This window comes from Homo sapiens, chromosome 17, assembly GCF_000001405.40.
Source record: "Homo sapiens chromosome 17, GRCh38.p14 Primary Assembly".
Classification (NCBI taxonomy): Eukaryota; Metazoa; Chordata; class Mammalia; order Primates; family Hominidae; genus Homo; species Homo sapiens.
Window position 1 is genome coordinate 75,401,652 of NC_000017.11, and position 15,821 is coordinate 75,417,472.

General features: G+C 47.2%; 1 protein-coding gene, 1 non-coding gene and 1 pseudogene across 3 annotated transcripts in view, besides 2 other annotated features; 1 reads left to right on the forward strand and 2 right to left on the reverse strand.

Annotated features, from left to right (window-relative positions):
- Nucleotides 1–4,027, reverse strand: part of GRB2 (growth factor receptor bound protein 2) — an 87,603-nt gene extending 83,576 nt beyond the window's left edge. For both annotated transcript variants that reach the window (NM_203506.3, NM_002086.5), the window contains exon 1: nucleotides 3,838–4,027. The gene's annotated coding sequence lies outside the window, so the exon portion shown is untranslated. The remainder of the gene's footprint in view (nucleotides 1–3,837) is intronic.
- Nucleotides 4,085–4,264: a silencer, noted in NCBI's record as "silent region_8965". NCBI's record gives its function as "represses an Ori minimal core promoter by ATAC-STARR-seq in GM12878 lymphoblastoid cells {active_cell/tissue: GM12878}" and the evidence as "EXISTENCE:reporter gene assay evidence [ECO:0000049][PMID:35858748]".
- MIR3678 (microRNA 3678) lies at nucleotides 4,418–4,511 on the forward strand. Its single transcript, NR_037449.1, has one exon. It is a non-coding gene; the product is annotated as a microRNA 3678 (primary transcript).
- Nucleotides 7,435–7,537, reverse strand: RNU6-938P (RNA, U6 small nuclear 938, pseudogene; annotated as a pseudogene).
- Nucleotides 10,937–11,231: a silencer, noted in NCBI's record as "tiled region #6144; K562 Repressive DNase unmatched - State 8:EnhW". NCBI's record gives its function as "represses a minimal TATA promoter and a strong SV40 promoter by Sharpr-MPRA in K562 cells {active_cell/tissue: K562}" and the evidence as "EXISTENCE:reporter gene assay evidence [ECO:0000049][PMID:27701403]".

A 15,821-nucleotide genomic window follows, 5' to 3' on the forward strand; every position in this document is an offset into this window, starting at 1 on the left:
CACTTACTAATGAGGGGACACTGGAGAAGTAACTTATACTCTGTAATCCCTAGTATCCCTTAACTGGAAAATGGGAATAATAACAGCCAACTACCTTATAAAGTCATTTTGATAATTAAAAGAGATAATGGTTGTAAAATGCTTGGCAGAAGTCTCTGGCTCTCTCCAAAAGACTGAGCTAACTAATTATCCACTATAGTGTGGGCTGTGATGATTTTATTATTATAATGTAGTATAAGCCAGAGACCTTAACTAGTATTTTCAGTCTCTTTTCAAATACTAGCCTACATGTTCTAAGAGTAAATGTGGAGCTTCCATCTGCATAGGCAGATATCCTGATGAAACCATCATCAGTTGAAAATATTGTTACATGGAAATGCATTTTAATACACCTAACCTACCAAACACCACAGCTTAGCCTAGCCTACCTTACCTTAAATGTGCTCCAAACACATTAGCCTACAGTTAAGCAAAATCATCTAACACAAAGCCCATTTTATAACAAAGTGATGAATATCTCCTGTAATTTACTGACTATGGTACTGAGAGTGAAAAACAAAACAGTTATATGGGTACTGGAAGTATAGTTTTTACTGAGCGCTATTGCTTTCACACCACTGTAAAGCTGAAAAATCTTTCGTCTGAGTCTACAGACTCAGAAGAATTCTCTGGTAGGCAAATTAATGACCCTATTAAGTATAAATTTCAAGTTAAATCACTCCACATCACAGTATTAAGAATGCTAAAAAATTTACACATGTAAAAATGAATCATGCTTATAGTCACTCATTCCATTAGGCTATTCTAAATACTGACTTTGTGTATACACAGAAAAATGTAATTTTAAGTTGAATTACTTAAAGCCACACAGCAGTCTTATTATTTATGGCTGCATTTGGTAACAACAGTTTTGATCCTTAGACCATCTGTATCAAAATCCACCCATTCAGAGACTGATTCACTGTGGGGTACATCCTGGAGTTCTACCAGAACCTAATTTTAAAAAGATCTCCCAGTGATTTTTATGGATACTAAATTTTAAATAACTGCTATACCATAAGGATGCCTTAACCAGATTTTAAAATTTGCATTCCAGATAATGCACTACAATGTCCTTGCATGAAATGAAAATAATGCATATTGGCCGGGCGCGGTGGCTCACGCCTGTAATCCCAGCACTTTGGGAGGCTGAGGTGAGTGGATCACCTGAAGTCGGGAGTTCCAGACCAGCCTGACCAACATGGAGAAACCCTGTCTCTACTAAAAATACACAATTAGCCAGGCGTGGTGGTGCATGCCTGTGATCCCAGCTACTAGCGAGGCTGAGGCAGAAGAATTGCCCGAACCCAGGAGGTGGAAGTTGTGGTGACCTGAGATCGTGCCACTGCACTCTAGCCTGGGCAACAAGAGCGAGAATCTGTCTCAAAAAAAAAAAAAAAGGAAAAAGAAAATAATGCGTATTCACTTGGCACAACTAGGAAAAAGGCAACTTTGACCAAAAAAAATATATATATATATAAATATATATATATATACAGACTCTCAAAAGCCATTCAGTAATGGTGGAGAGTTCCTCTGAATTAAGCAAGTATTAATTTCTCTCCGGAGGGCATGGTGACTCTCTATTCTGTATTACTTCATTTCTCCAAAATCCATTCCTCTTCTGTTGTATGTGTAACAATTAGAACTCTGATGGACAACATGCAACATGATAACAGCAATTACTGAGAAGAATCTCTAAGTACCATCAACCAGTAGTATTTAAAACCCAGCAAGCCTCTCAAATCTGAATAACTTGCTGACGAAGTAAAGTGCCTCAAACATTTAAACGTTTGAGTTCAGGCCGGGCGCAGTGGCTCATGTCTGTAATCCCAAGGCTGAGATGGGCAGATCACTTGAGGTCAGGAATTCGAGACCAGCCTGGCCAACATGGTGAAACTCTGTCTTTACAAAAATACAAAAATTAGCCAGGTGTGGTGGTGAGCACCTGTAATCCCAGCTACTCGGGAGTGCGAGGCAGGAGAATCGCTTAAACCCAGGAGGTGGAAGCTGCAGTGAGCCGAGATCGCACCACTGCACTCCAGCCTGGGCGACAGAGCGAGACTCCGTCTCAAAAAAATAAAATAAATAAATAAATGCTTGTGTTTAGTAGAAGAAAGCTGATTATAAGAATTAACTCTGGCCGGGCGCGGTGGCTCACGCCTGTAATCCCAACACTTTGGGAGGCCAAGGCGGGTGGATTACCTGAGGTCAAGAGTTCAAGACCAACCTGGGCAACACAGTGAAACCCCATCTCTACTAAAAATACAAAATTCGCTGGACATGGTGGTGGGCGCCTGTGATCCCAGCTACTCGGGAGGCTGAGGCAGGAGAATCGCTTGAACCCAGGAGGCAGAGTTGCAGTGAGCCCATATAGCACCATTGCACTCCAGCCTGGGCAAAAAGAGCAAAACTCTGCCTAAAAAAAAAAAGTCACTGAGCTGACCCAATCTTCCTATTATAAAGACATACTAGAAGAAAACATAAGCAGGCACAGAAGCATAATCTTAAAAGAAAAAGAGTAAAAGACAAAAATAATACAAGCAAACCACACTTGCGACCTAGTGGCAGGACTGATTTCTTAGGGATGAATTCAATCTTTTGAGCCTCCCCGTTCTCAGAGAGGGGACTTCAGCCTCCCACGGCTCTCTAGCAACCCTTCTGGCTGACTGCAGGGAACGCAGGGGACGCGCAAAAGTAAAGGAACGAAAGCAAGGAAAGAGAGTCTCTTCCCGAGGAAAAAGACGGAATCTTGAAATGAGAGAAAACGAACAGCACGAAAGGGAAGAAACCTCGAAAAATTACGCCAGAGTGGGGACTACAAGGAGGAAGGGGAAGTACATTAGAAAAAAAGGGGGGGGTGGGGGGAGGAAGGGGCAAATGACTTGCATTACACAAGCATTTCGTGTCCCTAGTGGAAAGGACAGAAGCAGATAGAGAAGGAAGGAAATAACTGGAGAAAGAGGAGTAAGAAAGCCAAAATAGACTAATGCTAATTTCTCTCATGTGTCTGACATTTCGGAAAGTCAACAGCATCAAAAAGAGACAGACCTCAAGTGCACTTCAGTCCCCTGCAAACTGCACTTTCACAGCGTTTGAAGCCAGCCTTGAAAAACTTTCTAAACAAGCCATAACTCATGTGTGGCTTACAATCATAGAGAGGGCGCGCTGCAAATGAAAATTACCAGCGCCCGCTCTCGCCGCAATCCTTCCTCGGTGCAGTCCAACCTGCTACTGCTGAATTTTTCTTGACAAATATTTTTCAAATAGTTTTTTTTTTTAAGTGTCAGAATAAAGGTATCTCCCCCGGCTCCAGCAGCAAACGTTCCACCCCAAAGTGGATTCCCGCACAAAATTAAGCCCAAAGACGCCAGGAGATGGTGACGTGGTTGCCGTGCAGGTCGAAGGCACATCAATCACCACAGCTGCAGCCCACACCAGTCCCCCGCCGCCAGGCTCGGGTAGACTGACTCGGTCGGCGTTCGGCCCGCCTGGGCTTCCCGGGCCCCTTCCGTGCAAACCCTCCCGATGAAGGCAGGGGACCTCGCCAGAGAACCCCGACCTCTTCCCCCGGACTGCCCAGAGCCAAGAGCCGGAGGAGGACGGTCCCCAGGAAGGAAGCGCCCCAAAAGGGGAAACGTAGAGTCCGGAGCCCCGGGGATTGCGCTCCACGTCCCAAGCCTCGCCGCCCCGACGCGAACCCCGGGGCCGGTCCCGGTTCCCCCGGGGCCCACTCCCGCTGTAGAGCCAAGAGGAAAAGGCACGAGAGAGGCGCCGAGCGCAGCCTCCCGTACTCACCGTGGCGCAGCTGCTCCGCTCAGCGTCCGGCCCGCCCCTCCACAACGCTGCGAGCGGCCGGCGACCCCAAGGCTGCTCTGCGAGGGCAGCGCTTGCTCCCGCCGCCGTCACCGCCACAGGCACAGACTCTGCCACAGCCGCCGCCGCCGCTGCCGCCGCCCGGTCGCCGAAGCAGCAATACCTCCTGGCTTCCGCTCCCCGTCGGTGTCCCGCGAGAACTTCTCCACGAGGCCCCGCCCCGCCCCCGCGAGACTTCCCCCGGCGGAAAAGGCCCAGAGCGCAAGCGCTCCTCCTCAGCCGGGCCCCTGCGGGTAGGGAACCAGCTAGGTGTCAGGGCGCATGCGCCAGACCTCCCCGCAGCAGGTGGCCTCCGCACGGCTCCGCCCCCGGGTCGCCGTAACCCTCTCGGTGCCAGAGCGGGTAAATGACAGCTTAGCCCTGAAGGACTCTTCCCCCGTCTAATCACTTTATTTTCCTCTTCTACCAAACCTAGGCAGTTGGATGGGTAGGGGCTTGGGGGAGGAAGAGATCTTCCAGAATGAAGCACTCCAAATAGAGGACCAGGTCTTAAAATATTTGAGAATCCGGTCCGTACAAACTCTGCTGTGTTGAATGATTGGTGAGTTTGTTTGCTCATTGATTGAATCACTGCAGAGTTTGTACGGACCGGATTCTCCAATATAGGCCGAACACTGTGCTGGGGATAGAACAGAAATCTTGGCCCTTAAGGAATTCACGGTCTAGGAAGTAGAAGAAAAATAAACAAATAATGCCATAAGTACTGTTATAATTATTTGGAGTTTGCTGAGGAAGCTAAAAAAATGGAGGGGGTACTGCTACACTGCCCATTGCAGAAGAGCCTTCACAGATGTGATGCGGCGATGTCTGATCTGAGTCTTGGAGGATGAGTAGGAATTTGCCAGGCAGAGAAGCCAGAGTAAGGGCATTTCAGGGAAAGGGAATGGCACGTAAGTACAGAGGCTAAGTACAGAGGAACGGAGGCGTGAGAGAGAAAGTCGTGTTCTGTGCAGTGCTAAGTAGTTCAATTCCTGTATGAGGCCGGTGAGTACGGGGGAGTGGCAGAAGATGAGGCTTGGAGAAATAATTCTTATTTTTCAGTTCCCAAAGCTCTTCCAATTAAAGGATAGAACACAACACACCTAGCGTTACTGTGCCTTCTGGAAGCCAACAAAATAGCGCTGAGGTGAGAATAACCAAGCATCTGATTCTATAGAGAAAAGAAGCCCATTGAAACACAGAAAATGAATTGTGCTTTCACCAAGTATTTATTGAGCATCACCTGTGTGCAAGGGGCTCTGCAGGGTCAAAGACCAACCAGATGAAGCCCCTGCTTTCAGTGCTTTGTAATCTAGAGTTGCCTAATCTGTAAGACAAGCAGTTGGCCCCAAGTGCCACTGAACTACACATAGGGATGGCTGAGGAGGGAGCCAGTACTTGGTGCTGAGCTAATCAAGAAGGATTTGGTTTGAACGGCAAAGTGAAAGCAGGGAGGAAAGAGGAAAGAGTAATGGAATCAGCCTTTTGTTTTTTTTTTTTTTTTTTTTTTTTGAGACGGAGTTTTGCTCTTGTTGCCCAGGCTGGAGTGCAATGGTGCGCGATCTTGGCTCACCGCAAGCTCCGCCTCCCGGGTTCAAGGGATTCTCCTGCCTCAGCCTCCCGAGTAGCTGGGATTACAGGCATGTGCCACCACACCCAGCTAATTTTGTATTTCTAGTAGAGATGGGGTTTCTCCATGTTGGTCAGGCTGGTCTCAAACTCCTGACCTCAGGTGATCCGCCCACCTTGGCCTCCCAAAGTGCTGGGATTACAGGCGTGAGCCACCATGCCTGTTTTTTTGGTTTTTTTTTTTTTTTTGAGACTTGCACTGTTGCCCAGGCTGGAGTGGAGTGCAGTGGCATGATTTTGGCTCACTGCAACTTCCGCCTCCTGGGTTCAAGCATTCTCTCACCTCAGCCTCTCAAGTAGCTGAGATTACAGCAGCCTGCCACCACACCCAGCTAATTTTTGTATTTTTAATAGAGACAGGGTTTCGCCATGTTGGCCAGGCTGGTCTCGAACTCCTGACCTCAGGTGATCCACCTGCCTCAGCCTCTCAAAGTGCTGGGATTACAGATGTGAGCCAACACTCCTGGCCATCAACCAATGTTTTTGATTAGTCCAAGCCCCAGTAATTGGGGGGAAGAGTGATGAGAGAGAGGGGCCAAAATGCAAAATGCATGGCTTAGGTGTCATAGTCAAGTGATGGGCAACCTCTGAAGGTTTCTGAGCAGGAGGTGTCTGATATGAGGTGAAAATAAGAAAAGGACCCTCTATTTACCACTTGATGCATACTTAAGTCATAGCGCCTCCACAGGGTGGGTAATATCCCCATTTTACAGACTTGGAAACTAAGCCTTAGAGAGGTTAGTAATTTACCCAAGGAAGCCAAAATATAGTAGACCTAAGATTTGGACTAAGGCCTGTCTTGTTCTAAAATCCTCATTTTTTTCCCGCACTATGCCACTTTGTTCTAAAATAGCAGTCAGAAAAAAATAGAAATGGAAGGGAGGGACTTAGCTGCTAAGCAGAGAGGAAGACATGAGGGAAGAATTGCAGTTTTTTGTTTTGAGTGGGCCTGGATAACAGGGAGAACACAGAAATTTGCCAGTCAAGAGGCATAGCTGACTGGAGGGGGCAGGCACAGAGAACAGGGAAGGGCAGGTGAGGAGATGATTGTAAGGGTGAAGGGAATTTTTCCCTTCCACTCTGACAGTTTGAGTCTGCTGAAATAAACTGGCAATAGATTAACAGGAGAAAGCACATACAAATTTACTGACATGCAGTGTGCATGGTTACCATACAGAATATGAGACTCAGAGAAGAGCCAGGTGGCTGAAGCTTAAAGAGCACCATCTTTGCAGAGGAGAGGGAGATGAGCGGAGGTCAGCAATACTGAAAGGTAGTCAACTATTTTTAGGGAAAAGGAATGAGCCCAAACAATGCCTGGGACAAAGTTCCTCTGAGCTCTGGGAGCTGGAGGTTGTGACAAATTTCAGGAAGGTGAGGTGCAGGACTTCACTGTAAATAAAGGTTGTCTTATTATGCAGATAAAGTCTCCTAAATAATCTCAGCTGTCCTCAGGAGAATAGATGAAAAGTCTGTTTGGATGTGGTGACAACTTTTAGTCTTTTCTCTTCTCTGGTAGTTAATATTTCCTGGTTATTTGACGAGAGTCCTAGGGAGGAAATTTTAAGACAGTCGCATCTATTTTTTTTCTTTTCTTTTCTTTTTTTTTTTTTTGAGATGTAGTTTCACTCTTGTTGTCCAGGCTGGAGTGCAATGGCGTGATCTCAGCTCACCGAAACCTCCACCTCCCAGGTTCAAGTGATGCTCCTGCCTCAGCCTCCAGAGTAGCTGGCATTACAGGCATGCACCACCACGCCCGGCTAATTTTGTATGTTTAGCAGAGATGGGGCTTTTCCCTGTTGGTCAGGCTGGTCTCGAACTCCCGACCTCAGGTGATCCGCCCGCCTTGGCCTCCCAAAGTGCTGGGATCACAGGCGTGAGCCACCACACCTGCTCTTTTTCTTTCTTTCTTTTTTAATGGATCCCTTCACAGATTTGCATGTCTTCTTGCTCAGGGGCTATGCTAATCTCTGTATCATTCCAATTTTAGTATATGTGCTGCCAAAGCAAGTACACAATTGAATTTCTTTTGGTTTCTCAGTCAGCTAAGGGAACTTTCAGACAGCCCCTGCATGCATGTGGGGTGGTGAAACAAGACTTTAAAAAGTCCTTGGTTCTGAGGCAGCTTGTAAGTCCTTCCAATTTCCTTTCATTCAAAAGTGCTCAGAATGCCAGAGGAGCATACTTTGGGGTATCATTCTCTGAGCCCCAACATGATGATGACTCATTTTTGGAAATGCAGAATTCAGCATTCCAGGAGACATGCAGGTGGAAATATTCAGTATGCTGTTGAAAAGCTTGACAAGCTGGACGCAGCGTTCTCTCCCATAATCCCAGCACTTTGGGAGGCTGAGGCAGGTGGATCACTTGAAGTCAGGAGTTTGAGACCAGCCTAGCCAACATGGTGAAACCTCATCTCTACTAAAAATGCAAAAATTAGCCGGGCGTGGTGGCACATGCTTGTAACCCCAGCTACTCGGGAGGCTGAGGCAGGAGAATTGCTTGAACCCAGGAGGCGGAGGTTGCAGTAAGCAAAGATCATGCCACTGCACTCCAACCTGGGTGACAGAACCAGACTCCATCTCAAAAAAAAAAATAAATAAATAAATAAAAGAAAAGCTTAATGTACTCATTCATTCTCTTTGCCAACATTAACTAAGCATCTATTCTCTTTGTTTGTTTTTTTTTGTTTTTGAGACAGGGTCTCACTCTTGTCACCCAGGCTGGAGTGCAGTGGCGCAACCTCAGCTCACTGCAGCCTTGACTTCCCAGGCTCAGGTAATTCTCCCATCTGAGTCTCCCAAGTAGCCAGAACTACAGGCACATGCCGCCATGCCCAGCTAATTTTTTGTGTTATGTAAGTATGTATGTATGTACGTATGTATGTATGTATGTATGTATTGAGACAGGGTCTCACTCTGTTGCCCAGGCTGGAGTGCAGTGGCACGATCAGGGCTCACTGCAGCCTCAACCTCCTGGGCAAGAGATCCTCCTGCCTCAGCCCCCCAGTACCTGGGACAACAGTCATGCACCACCACGCTTGGCTAAATTTTTGTGTTTTTAGTAGAGATGGGTATCATCATGTTGGTTAGGTTGGTCTCAAACTCCTGGGCTCAGGCAATCTGCCCGCCTTGGCCTCCCAAAGTGCTAAGATTACAAGCGTGAGCCACCACGCCCAGCCTAGAGCATCTACTCTCTAGAGAGGAGGACAACCCTCCACAGAGTCTGCAGCCTGAAGGGGAAGACATGTCTCTGAGAATTTGACCAGGATAGTGCTGGTGGCTTTGGAAGCATACAGCAGGGGACCTGACCTCATCCACTATGAGGGAAGGCAGAGGAAGTGGGCTTTAAGCTGAGACCCTGGTTAGCCTGAGAGGAAGAAATGATACAGCAAGTGTGAAGGCCAGACAGTAAGCAAGGATGTAAGGAAGCCAATAGCTGGGACAAGGAAGGATGTGTGGCATGTGGGTAAAGCAGCTGAAGAGGCTCGTGAAGGGCCTTTGCTTTTCTCTCTCTCTCTCTCTCTCTTTTTTTGAGATAGGGTCTTGCTGTATTGCCCAGGCTGAAGTACAGTGGTGTGATCACAACTCACTGCAGCCTCAACCTCCTGAACTCAAACAATCCTCCTGCCACATAGCTGGGATCATAGGCATGCGCCATCACCATGCCTGACTAATTTTTTTTTTTTTTTTTTTGAGACAGAGTCTTGCTCTGTCACCCAGGCTGGAGTGAAGTGGCACCATCTTGGCTCACTGCAACCTCTGCCTCCCAGGTTGAAGCAATTCTCCTGCCTCAGCCTCCCCAATAGCTGGGACTACAGGCACGCACCACCACGCCTGGGTAATTTTCGTATTTTTAGTAGAGATGGGGGTATCACCATGTTGGCCAGGCTGCTCTCGAACTCCTGACCTCAGATGATCCACACACCTCGGCCTCCCAAAGTGCTGGGATTACAGGCATAGGCCACTGCACCCAGACTAATTTTTTTATTTTTTGTAGAGAAGAGGAGTCTGACTTTGTTGCTAGCCTGGTCTTGAACTCTTGATCCTCCCACCTCAGCATCCTAAAGTGCTGGGGTTACAGGCATGAGCCACTGCACCCACTTTTTCATTATTGCTAAAGACTTGAGACTTGACTCTGTGGAATACTGAAGTAGGAGTGGGCCATGGTCAAATTTTTATCTTCCAAATATTTTGTCACTCTGGCTGCAGAGTAGAAAACCAATTGGAACTAAGACATTCATCATCTACTGTCTCAAGTCCCTTACAAGGCTCTTAAAGATCTGGCCCTTCCAGCCAGTGCCACCTTCTCAGTCTCCAGTAACACATACTCCACCAATACTAACCCACTTGTGGTTTCCGGAAGGTGTCATGATCCTTTGAGTGTCCATATCTTTACACATGCAATTTCCTCTGTTCAGTTGGCTTTCTACCCTTCCACTAGGTCCCCAAGTCAGTTTTCTTCTTCAAAATTTCCATGGTAGGTCAGGCACAGTGGCTCACATCTCACTTTAGGAGGTGGAGGTGGGTGGATCAGTTGAGTCCAGGAGTTCAAGACCAACCTGGGCAACATGGTAAAACCCCACCTCTACTAAAAATGCAAAAATTAGCTGGGCAGGGTGGCAAACACCTCTAGTTGGGAGCTACTCAGGAGGCTGAGGTAGTAGGATCATCTGAGCCCGGGAGATGGAGGCTACAGTGAGGCATGATCGTGTCACTGCATTCAGCCTGGGCAACAGAGCAAGACCCTGTCTCAAAAAAAAAAAAAAAAAAATTCCCACCATACCTCCAATCTCATTGCATCATGAATCATTCACTCATTGTCCCCCAGCCCTCCCCGCTCGGTGGTCTACAAGCTCCCAAACAGACAGGGTCACCTTTTCACATTTGTATTCCCAGTACCCAGCACAGTGCATGCAGTGAATAAATGGATGGATGGATGGACGGATGAATAATAAAGGCTGACCAGAGACTGAAATGTAGCTGCTTTTCTGTGCTGTGGTGGTATTTAAAGCTAAGGAAGTGGGTGAGATCTCAGAAAAGAGTAGATGCCTAAGAGAACAGGAAAAAAAAAGTTAAGTATTTCCTTTTAAAATACACCATTGATAAAAACAGACATTGAGTATGTTCATGTAAAAGTATATGCATGGGAACCAGATTTGGAAGGGAACATTTAAAAGTAAAAATAATATGTGTTAAAATGGTAGGCTCGTGGGTGACTTTTTTTTAAGTCAACATTTGTTATATTGCCTTTTTGATAAATTTTTTTTTCTCACAGACACAGACTCAGAAACTTGAGACAACGTTGCCCAAGATCATTCCACACTGAGAAAAAAACACATTAGAGGCAGCAGTGTTTTGAATAGGTGCATGGCTAGTGTTAAATAATGGAAAGAAATTGGAACAAGAGGCAAGTTGTGAAGTAAAAGTCACACCCTGGTATGAAAACCTGTTGTCACTGTAGCGAAACTTGCTAATTACAGACCGGCTCCATCAGTAGCTTCACAATGCACAAAATCACCAAAAAAGTCTCTGTTTTCCTTGGGGGTTTTTAGTCGTCGGAAAGGGCTTCAGGCTTTGTTTTCTGTGAGTTACGGGGCTGCCACCTGCAGGTAAAATCTGGACATTGCCCTGAAATTGACCGAACCTTGGATACAAACCCGGCCTGACAGTGAGCCTCTTTCCCTTAGCACCTGGCTCAAGACCCTCTCAGGGTCATCCTGAGCCCATATTTCCAAGCTTCTCTTTAGGGGGAAAGCACTAGATACCCAGTAACAGCCAGTGACAGCCTAAAATTGGGCATTTGAAATTCTATGCTCCCTTGCCCAATTGATCTTGGAAGTTCTCATCTAGAATTTCCTTCACTTAAGTTGTGATCCAAGGCTGTGTACTCCTCTCAGGCTTCCAGTGTTCCCTCTGATGCTGAGTTTAGCAATGAGACCAAGTGCTGTGACCCCTCTCCAACATCCTGGCCACCTTTTCCTTCCTTCCTTCCTTCTTTCCTTCCTTCCTGCCTTCCCTCCCTCCCTCTTTCTTTCCTTCCTTCCTTCTTTCTTTTTTCTTTCTTTCCTTTCTTTTTCCTTTCATTTTCTTTTTTTCTCTTTCTTTCTTCATTTTCTTTCTTTCTCTCTCTTTCTCTCTTCCTTTCTTTACCTTCTTTCTTTCCTCTCTTTCTCTTTATCTCTCCCTCTTTCTCTCTTTCTCTCTCCCTCTTTCTCTCTTTCTCTCTCTCTCTTTTAGACAGAGTCCTGCTCTGTTGCCCAGGCTGGAGTACAGTGGCACAATCTTGACTCACTATAACCTCTGCCTCCTCGGTTCAAGTGATTCTCCTGCCTCAGCCTCCCAAGTAGCTGGGATTACAGGCGCCCGCCATCACACCCAGCTAATCTGTGTATTTTTAGTGGAGGTGGGGCTTCACCATGTTGGCCAGGCTGGTCTCGAACTCCTGACCTCAGGTGATCCACCTGCCTCGGCCTCCCAAAGTGCTGGGATTACAGGCGTGAGCCACCGCACCTGGCCTTCTTTCTTCCTCTTTTTTCTTTTCTTTTTTCTTCTTTCTCTTTCTTTCTTTCTCTCTTTCTTTTCCTTCCTTCCTTCCTTCCTCCCTTCCCTCCCTCCCTCCTTCCCTCCCTTCTTTCTTTTCCTTCCTTCCTTCCCTTCCCCCTTCTTCCTTCCTTCTTTTTTCTTTCTCCTTCCTTCCTTCCTCCCTCCCTCCGTCCCTCCCTCTCTCTCTCTCTTTCTTTCTTTCTTTCCTTCTCTTCTTTCTTTTCTCATGGTCTCACTCTGTTTCCCAGGCAGGATTGCAGTGGCACAATCTTGCCTCACTGCAGTCTCAACCTTCCCTGGGCTCAGGTGATCCTCCCACCTAAGCCCCCGAGAATAGCTGGGACTACAGGTGTGTACCACCACACCTGGCTAATTTTTGTATTTTTTGTAGAGATGGGGTTTCCCAGGTTGGTCTTGAATTCCTGGGCTCAAGCAGTCTTCCCACCTCAGGCTCCCAAAGTGCTGGGATTACAGGAGCCACTGTGCCTGGCCTCCTGGCCCCATTTCTGTCACCTGACCTGACCCATGCCACCATCCTTCCTGGGTGGCTGCTTTAACCTGCTAACTAATCATACTGGTCCCCTCCAAGACATTATCTATATTGGAACCAGAGTGGACTTCCTAAAACACAAATAGAATGGGGGTACGGATCACAGATAAGGTCCCAAATTCCTCAGCATGCCCCATATGTCCCTCCATGGCTGGCCCCTGATGAAAACTCCAGCCTTAACTCCTTTTTTAAAAAGTTGTAAATATCTTCTACAAATGGCCTCAACTCTTAGCCTAACCTCCTTTTGAATTTTTTGTCCCCACTCTTTTGAACTATTTACAGTTTCTCGAATAGCTCCATAACTCTTTTACCTTGTGCAGGCTACTCCTTTGGGCTCAAATGCCTCCTTTCCTTGCCTTCCCAATCTTTAGCTGGCTCCTGTCTGTCCTTCACCACTTAACTCAGGAGCCACCTCCTACAGGAAGCCTTCCCAGAAGATCTGGTTCCTCCAGTGTATTCTGGTAACACTCCATCTTTGCTCTTTTCATAGCAGTATATGTTGGTATTATGGCTGAATTGTATCCTTTTCCCCAAAATCCATATGTTGAAGCCCCACCCCCAGTACCTAAGAATGTGACTGTATTTGAGGTTAGGACCTTTAAAGAGGTGACTGAATTAAAAGAAGGCTATTGAGGCCGGGCACGGTGGCTCACGCCTGTAATCCCAGCACTTTGGGAGGCTGAGGTGGGCAGATCACAAGGTCAGGAGATCGAGGCCATCCTGGCTAACCCGGTGAAACCCCGTCTCCACTAAAAATACAAAAAAATCAGCCAGGTATGGTGGCAGGCGCCTGTAGTCTCAGCTACTTGAGAGGCTGAGGCAGGAGAATCGTTTGACCCCAGAGGTGGAGGTTGCAGTAAGCTGAGATCATGCCACTGCACTCCAGTCTGGGCAACAAGACAGACTCCATCTCAAAAAAAAAAAAAAAAAAAAAGAAAAAAAAAGAAAAGGAAAAGAAAGAAAGAAAAGAAAAAGAAAGGCTGTTAGGCTGAATCCTAACCCAATCTGACTGGTGTCCACTTAAGAAGAAGAGATTGGGGCCGGGGGCGGTGGCTCAAGCCTGTAATCCCAGCACTTTGGGAGGCCGAGGTGGGCGAATCATGAGGTCAGGAGATCAAGACCATCCTGGCTAACATGGTGAAATCCCATCTCTACTAAAAAAAAATACAAAAAATTATCTGGGCACGGTGGCGGGCGCCTGTAGTTCCAGCTACTCAGGAGGCTGAGGCAGGAGAATCACTTGAACCCGGGAGGCAGAGGTTGCAGTGAGTCAAGATCGTGCCACTGCACTCCAGCTTGGGCAACAGAGCAAGACTGTCTTGAAAAAAAAAAAAAAGAGGAAGAAGGAGAAGAAGGAGAAGAAGAAGAAACCAAACCTGCGAACATCTTCATCTTGGACTTGATTTTAAAGATTTTAAAACGCTCAAAATTGTGAATTTTGTTATGGCAGCCCTAGGAAACTACCATCTACTCACTTGCCCCTCTCCCCTTTAGACTATGAGCTCCTCAAGCACAGGGACCATGTCTTGTTTTTCTTGGCTCGCCACATCTAGCCTAACGCCTGGCAAGAGCACACTCCAATAAAAACCAAATGACTGGATGGCTTAGGCATGGCAGGAGGACAGAAGGAACCATGAAGAAAAGTAAACGGGCCAGGTGTGGCGATTACGCCTTTAAGCCCAGCACTTTGGGAGGCTGGGGTGAGTGGATCACTTGAGCCTTGGAGTTTTGAGACCAGCCTGGGCAATACAGCAAGACCTCGTCTCTACAAAAAATACAAAAATGAGCCAGGTGTGGTGTTGCGTGTCTGTAGTACCAGCTACTCGGGGGGTTGAGGTGGGAGAATTGCCTGAGTCTGGGAGGTTGGGGATAAGTGAGCCATGATCGCACCACTACACTATAGCCTGGGTAACAAAGTGAGACTCTGGCTGAAAGAAAGAAGGGGCCGGGCACGGTGGCTCACGCCTATAATCCCAGCACTTTAGGAGACCGAGGCAGGTGGATCACCTGAGATCAGGAGTTGGAGACCAGCCTGACCGACATGATGAAACCCCATCCCTACTAAAAATACAAAAATTATCCAGGGGTGGTGGCACATGGCTGTAATCCCAGCTACTGGGGAGGCTGAGGCAGGAGAATTTCTTGAACCCCGGAGGCAGAGGTTTCAGTGAGCCGAGATCGCACCACTGCACTCCAGCATGGGCAAAAAGAGCGAGACTCCATCTCAAAAAAAAAAAAAAAAAAAGGAAGGAAGGAAGAAAGCAGGAAGGGAAGGAAGGAAAGAAAGAAAGAAAGGTGAGAGAGAGACAGAGGAGATGAAAATGGTTCAAAGGGGGCCAGGCATGGTGGCTCACGCCTGTAATCCCAGCACTTTGGGAGGCCAAGGTGGGAGGATGACCTGAAGTCAGAAGTTTGTGACCAGCCGGCCAACATGATAAAACCCTGTCTCTACTAAAATTACAAAAAAAATTAGCCAGGCATAGTGGTACATGCCTATAATCCCAGCTACTCAGGAGGCTGAGGCAGGAGAATCACTTGAACCCAGCAGGCGGAGGTTGCAGCAGTGAGCCAAGATCGCGCCACTGCACTCCAGCCTGGGCGGTAGAGGGAGACTCTACCTCAAAATAAATAAATTAATTAAATAAAATAAAGAAAAAAAGAGGCCAGGCATGGTGGCTCTCACCTGTAATTCCAGCAGTTTGGGAGGCCCAGGTGGGCGGATTGCCTGAGGTTGGGAGTTCAAGATCAGCCTGGCCAGCGTGGTGAAACCCTGTCTCTACTACAAATAAAATAATTAGCCCAGCGTGGTGGCAGGTGCCTGTAATCCCAGCTACTCAGGAAGCTGAGGCAGGAGAATTGCTTGAACCCGGGAGTCAGAGGTTGCAGTGAGCTGAGATCGTGCCATTACACTCCATCCTGGGCAACAGAAGGAGACTCTGTCTCAAAATAGAAAAAAAAAAAACTTCAGATAAGCAAATGGACTCTGGTCCTGACAGCTCCCTGTAGCGATGCCAGGGTCAGTTCAGAGGAGCCTGGCCTTTCTCCTTTCCTTGTGTTTCAGTTTCCACATCTCTTTTTCCTTAGCACACACTCTGCCCGTTAAGGAGATGAAGTCAGTTCCATTTTGGCCATGAGCTAAAATGCAAGTGATGCATCCAAAGGGTGGAAATTTCCTCTGTGTTCCTACGCCTACAAGAAAGAAG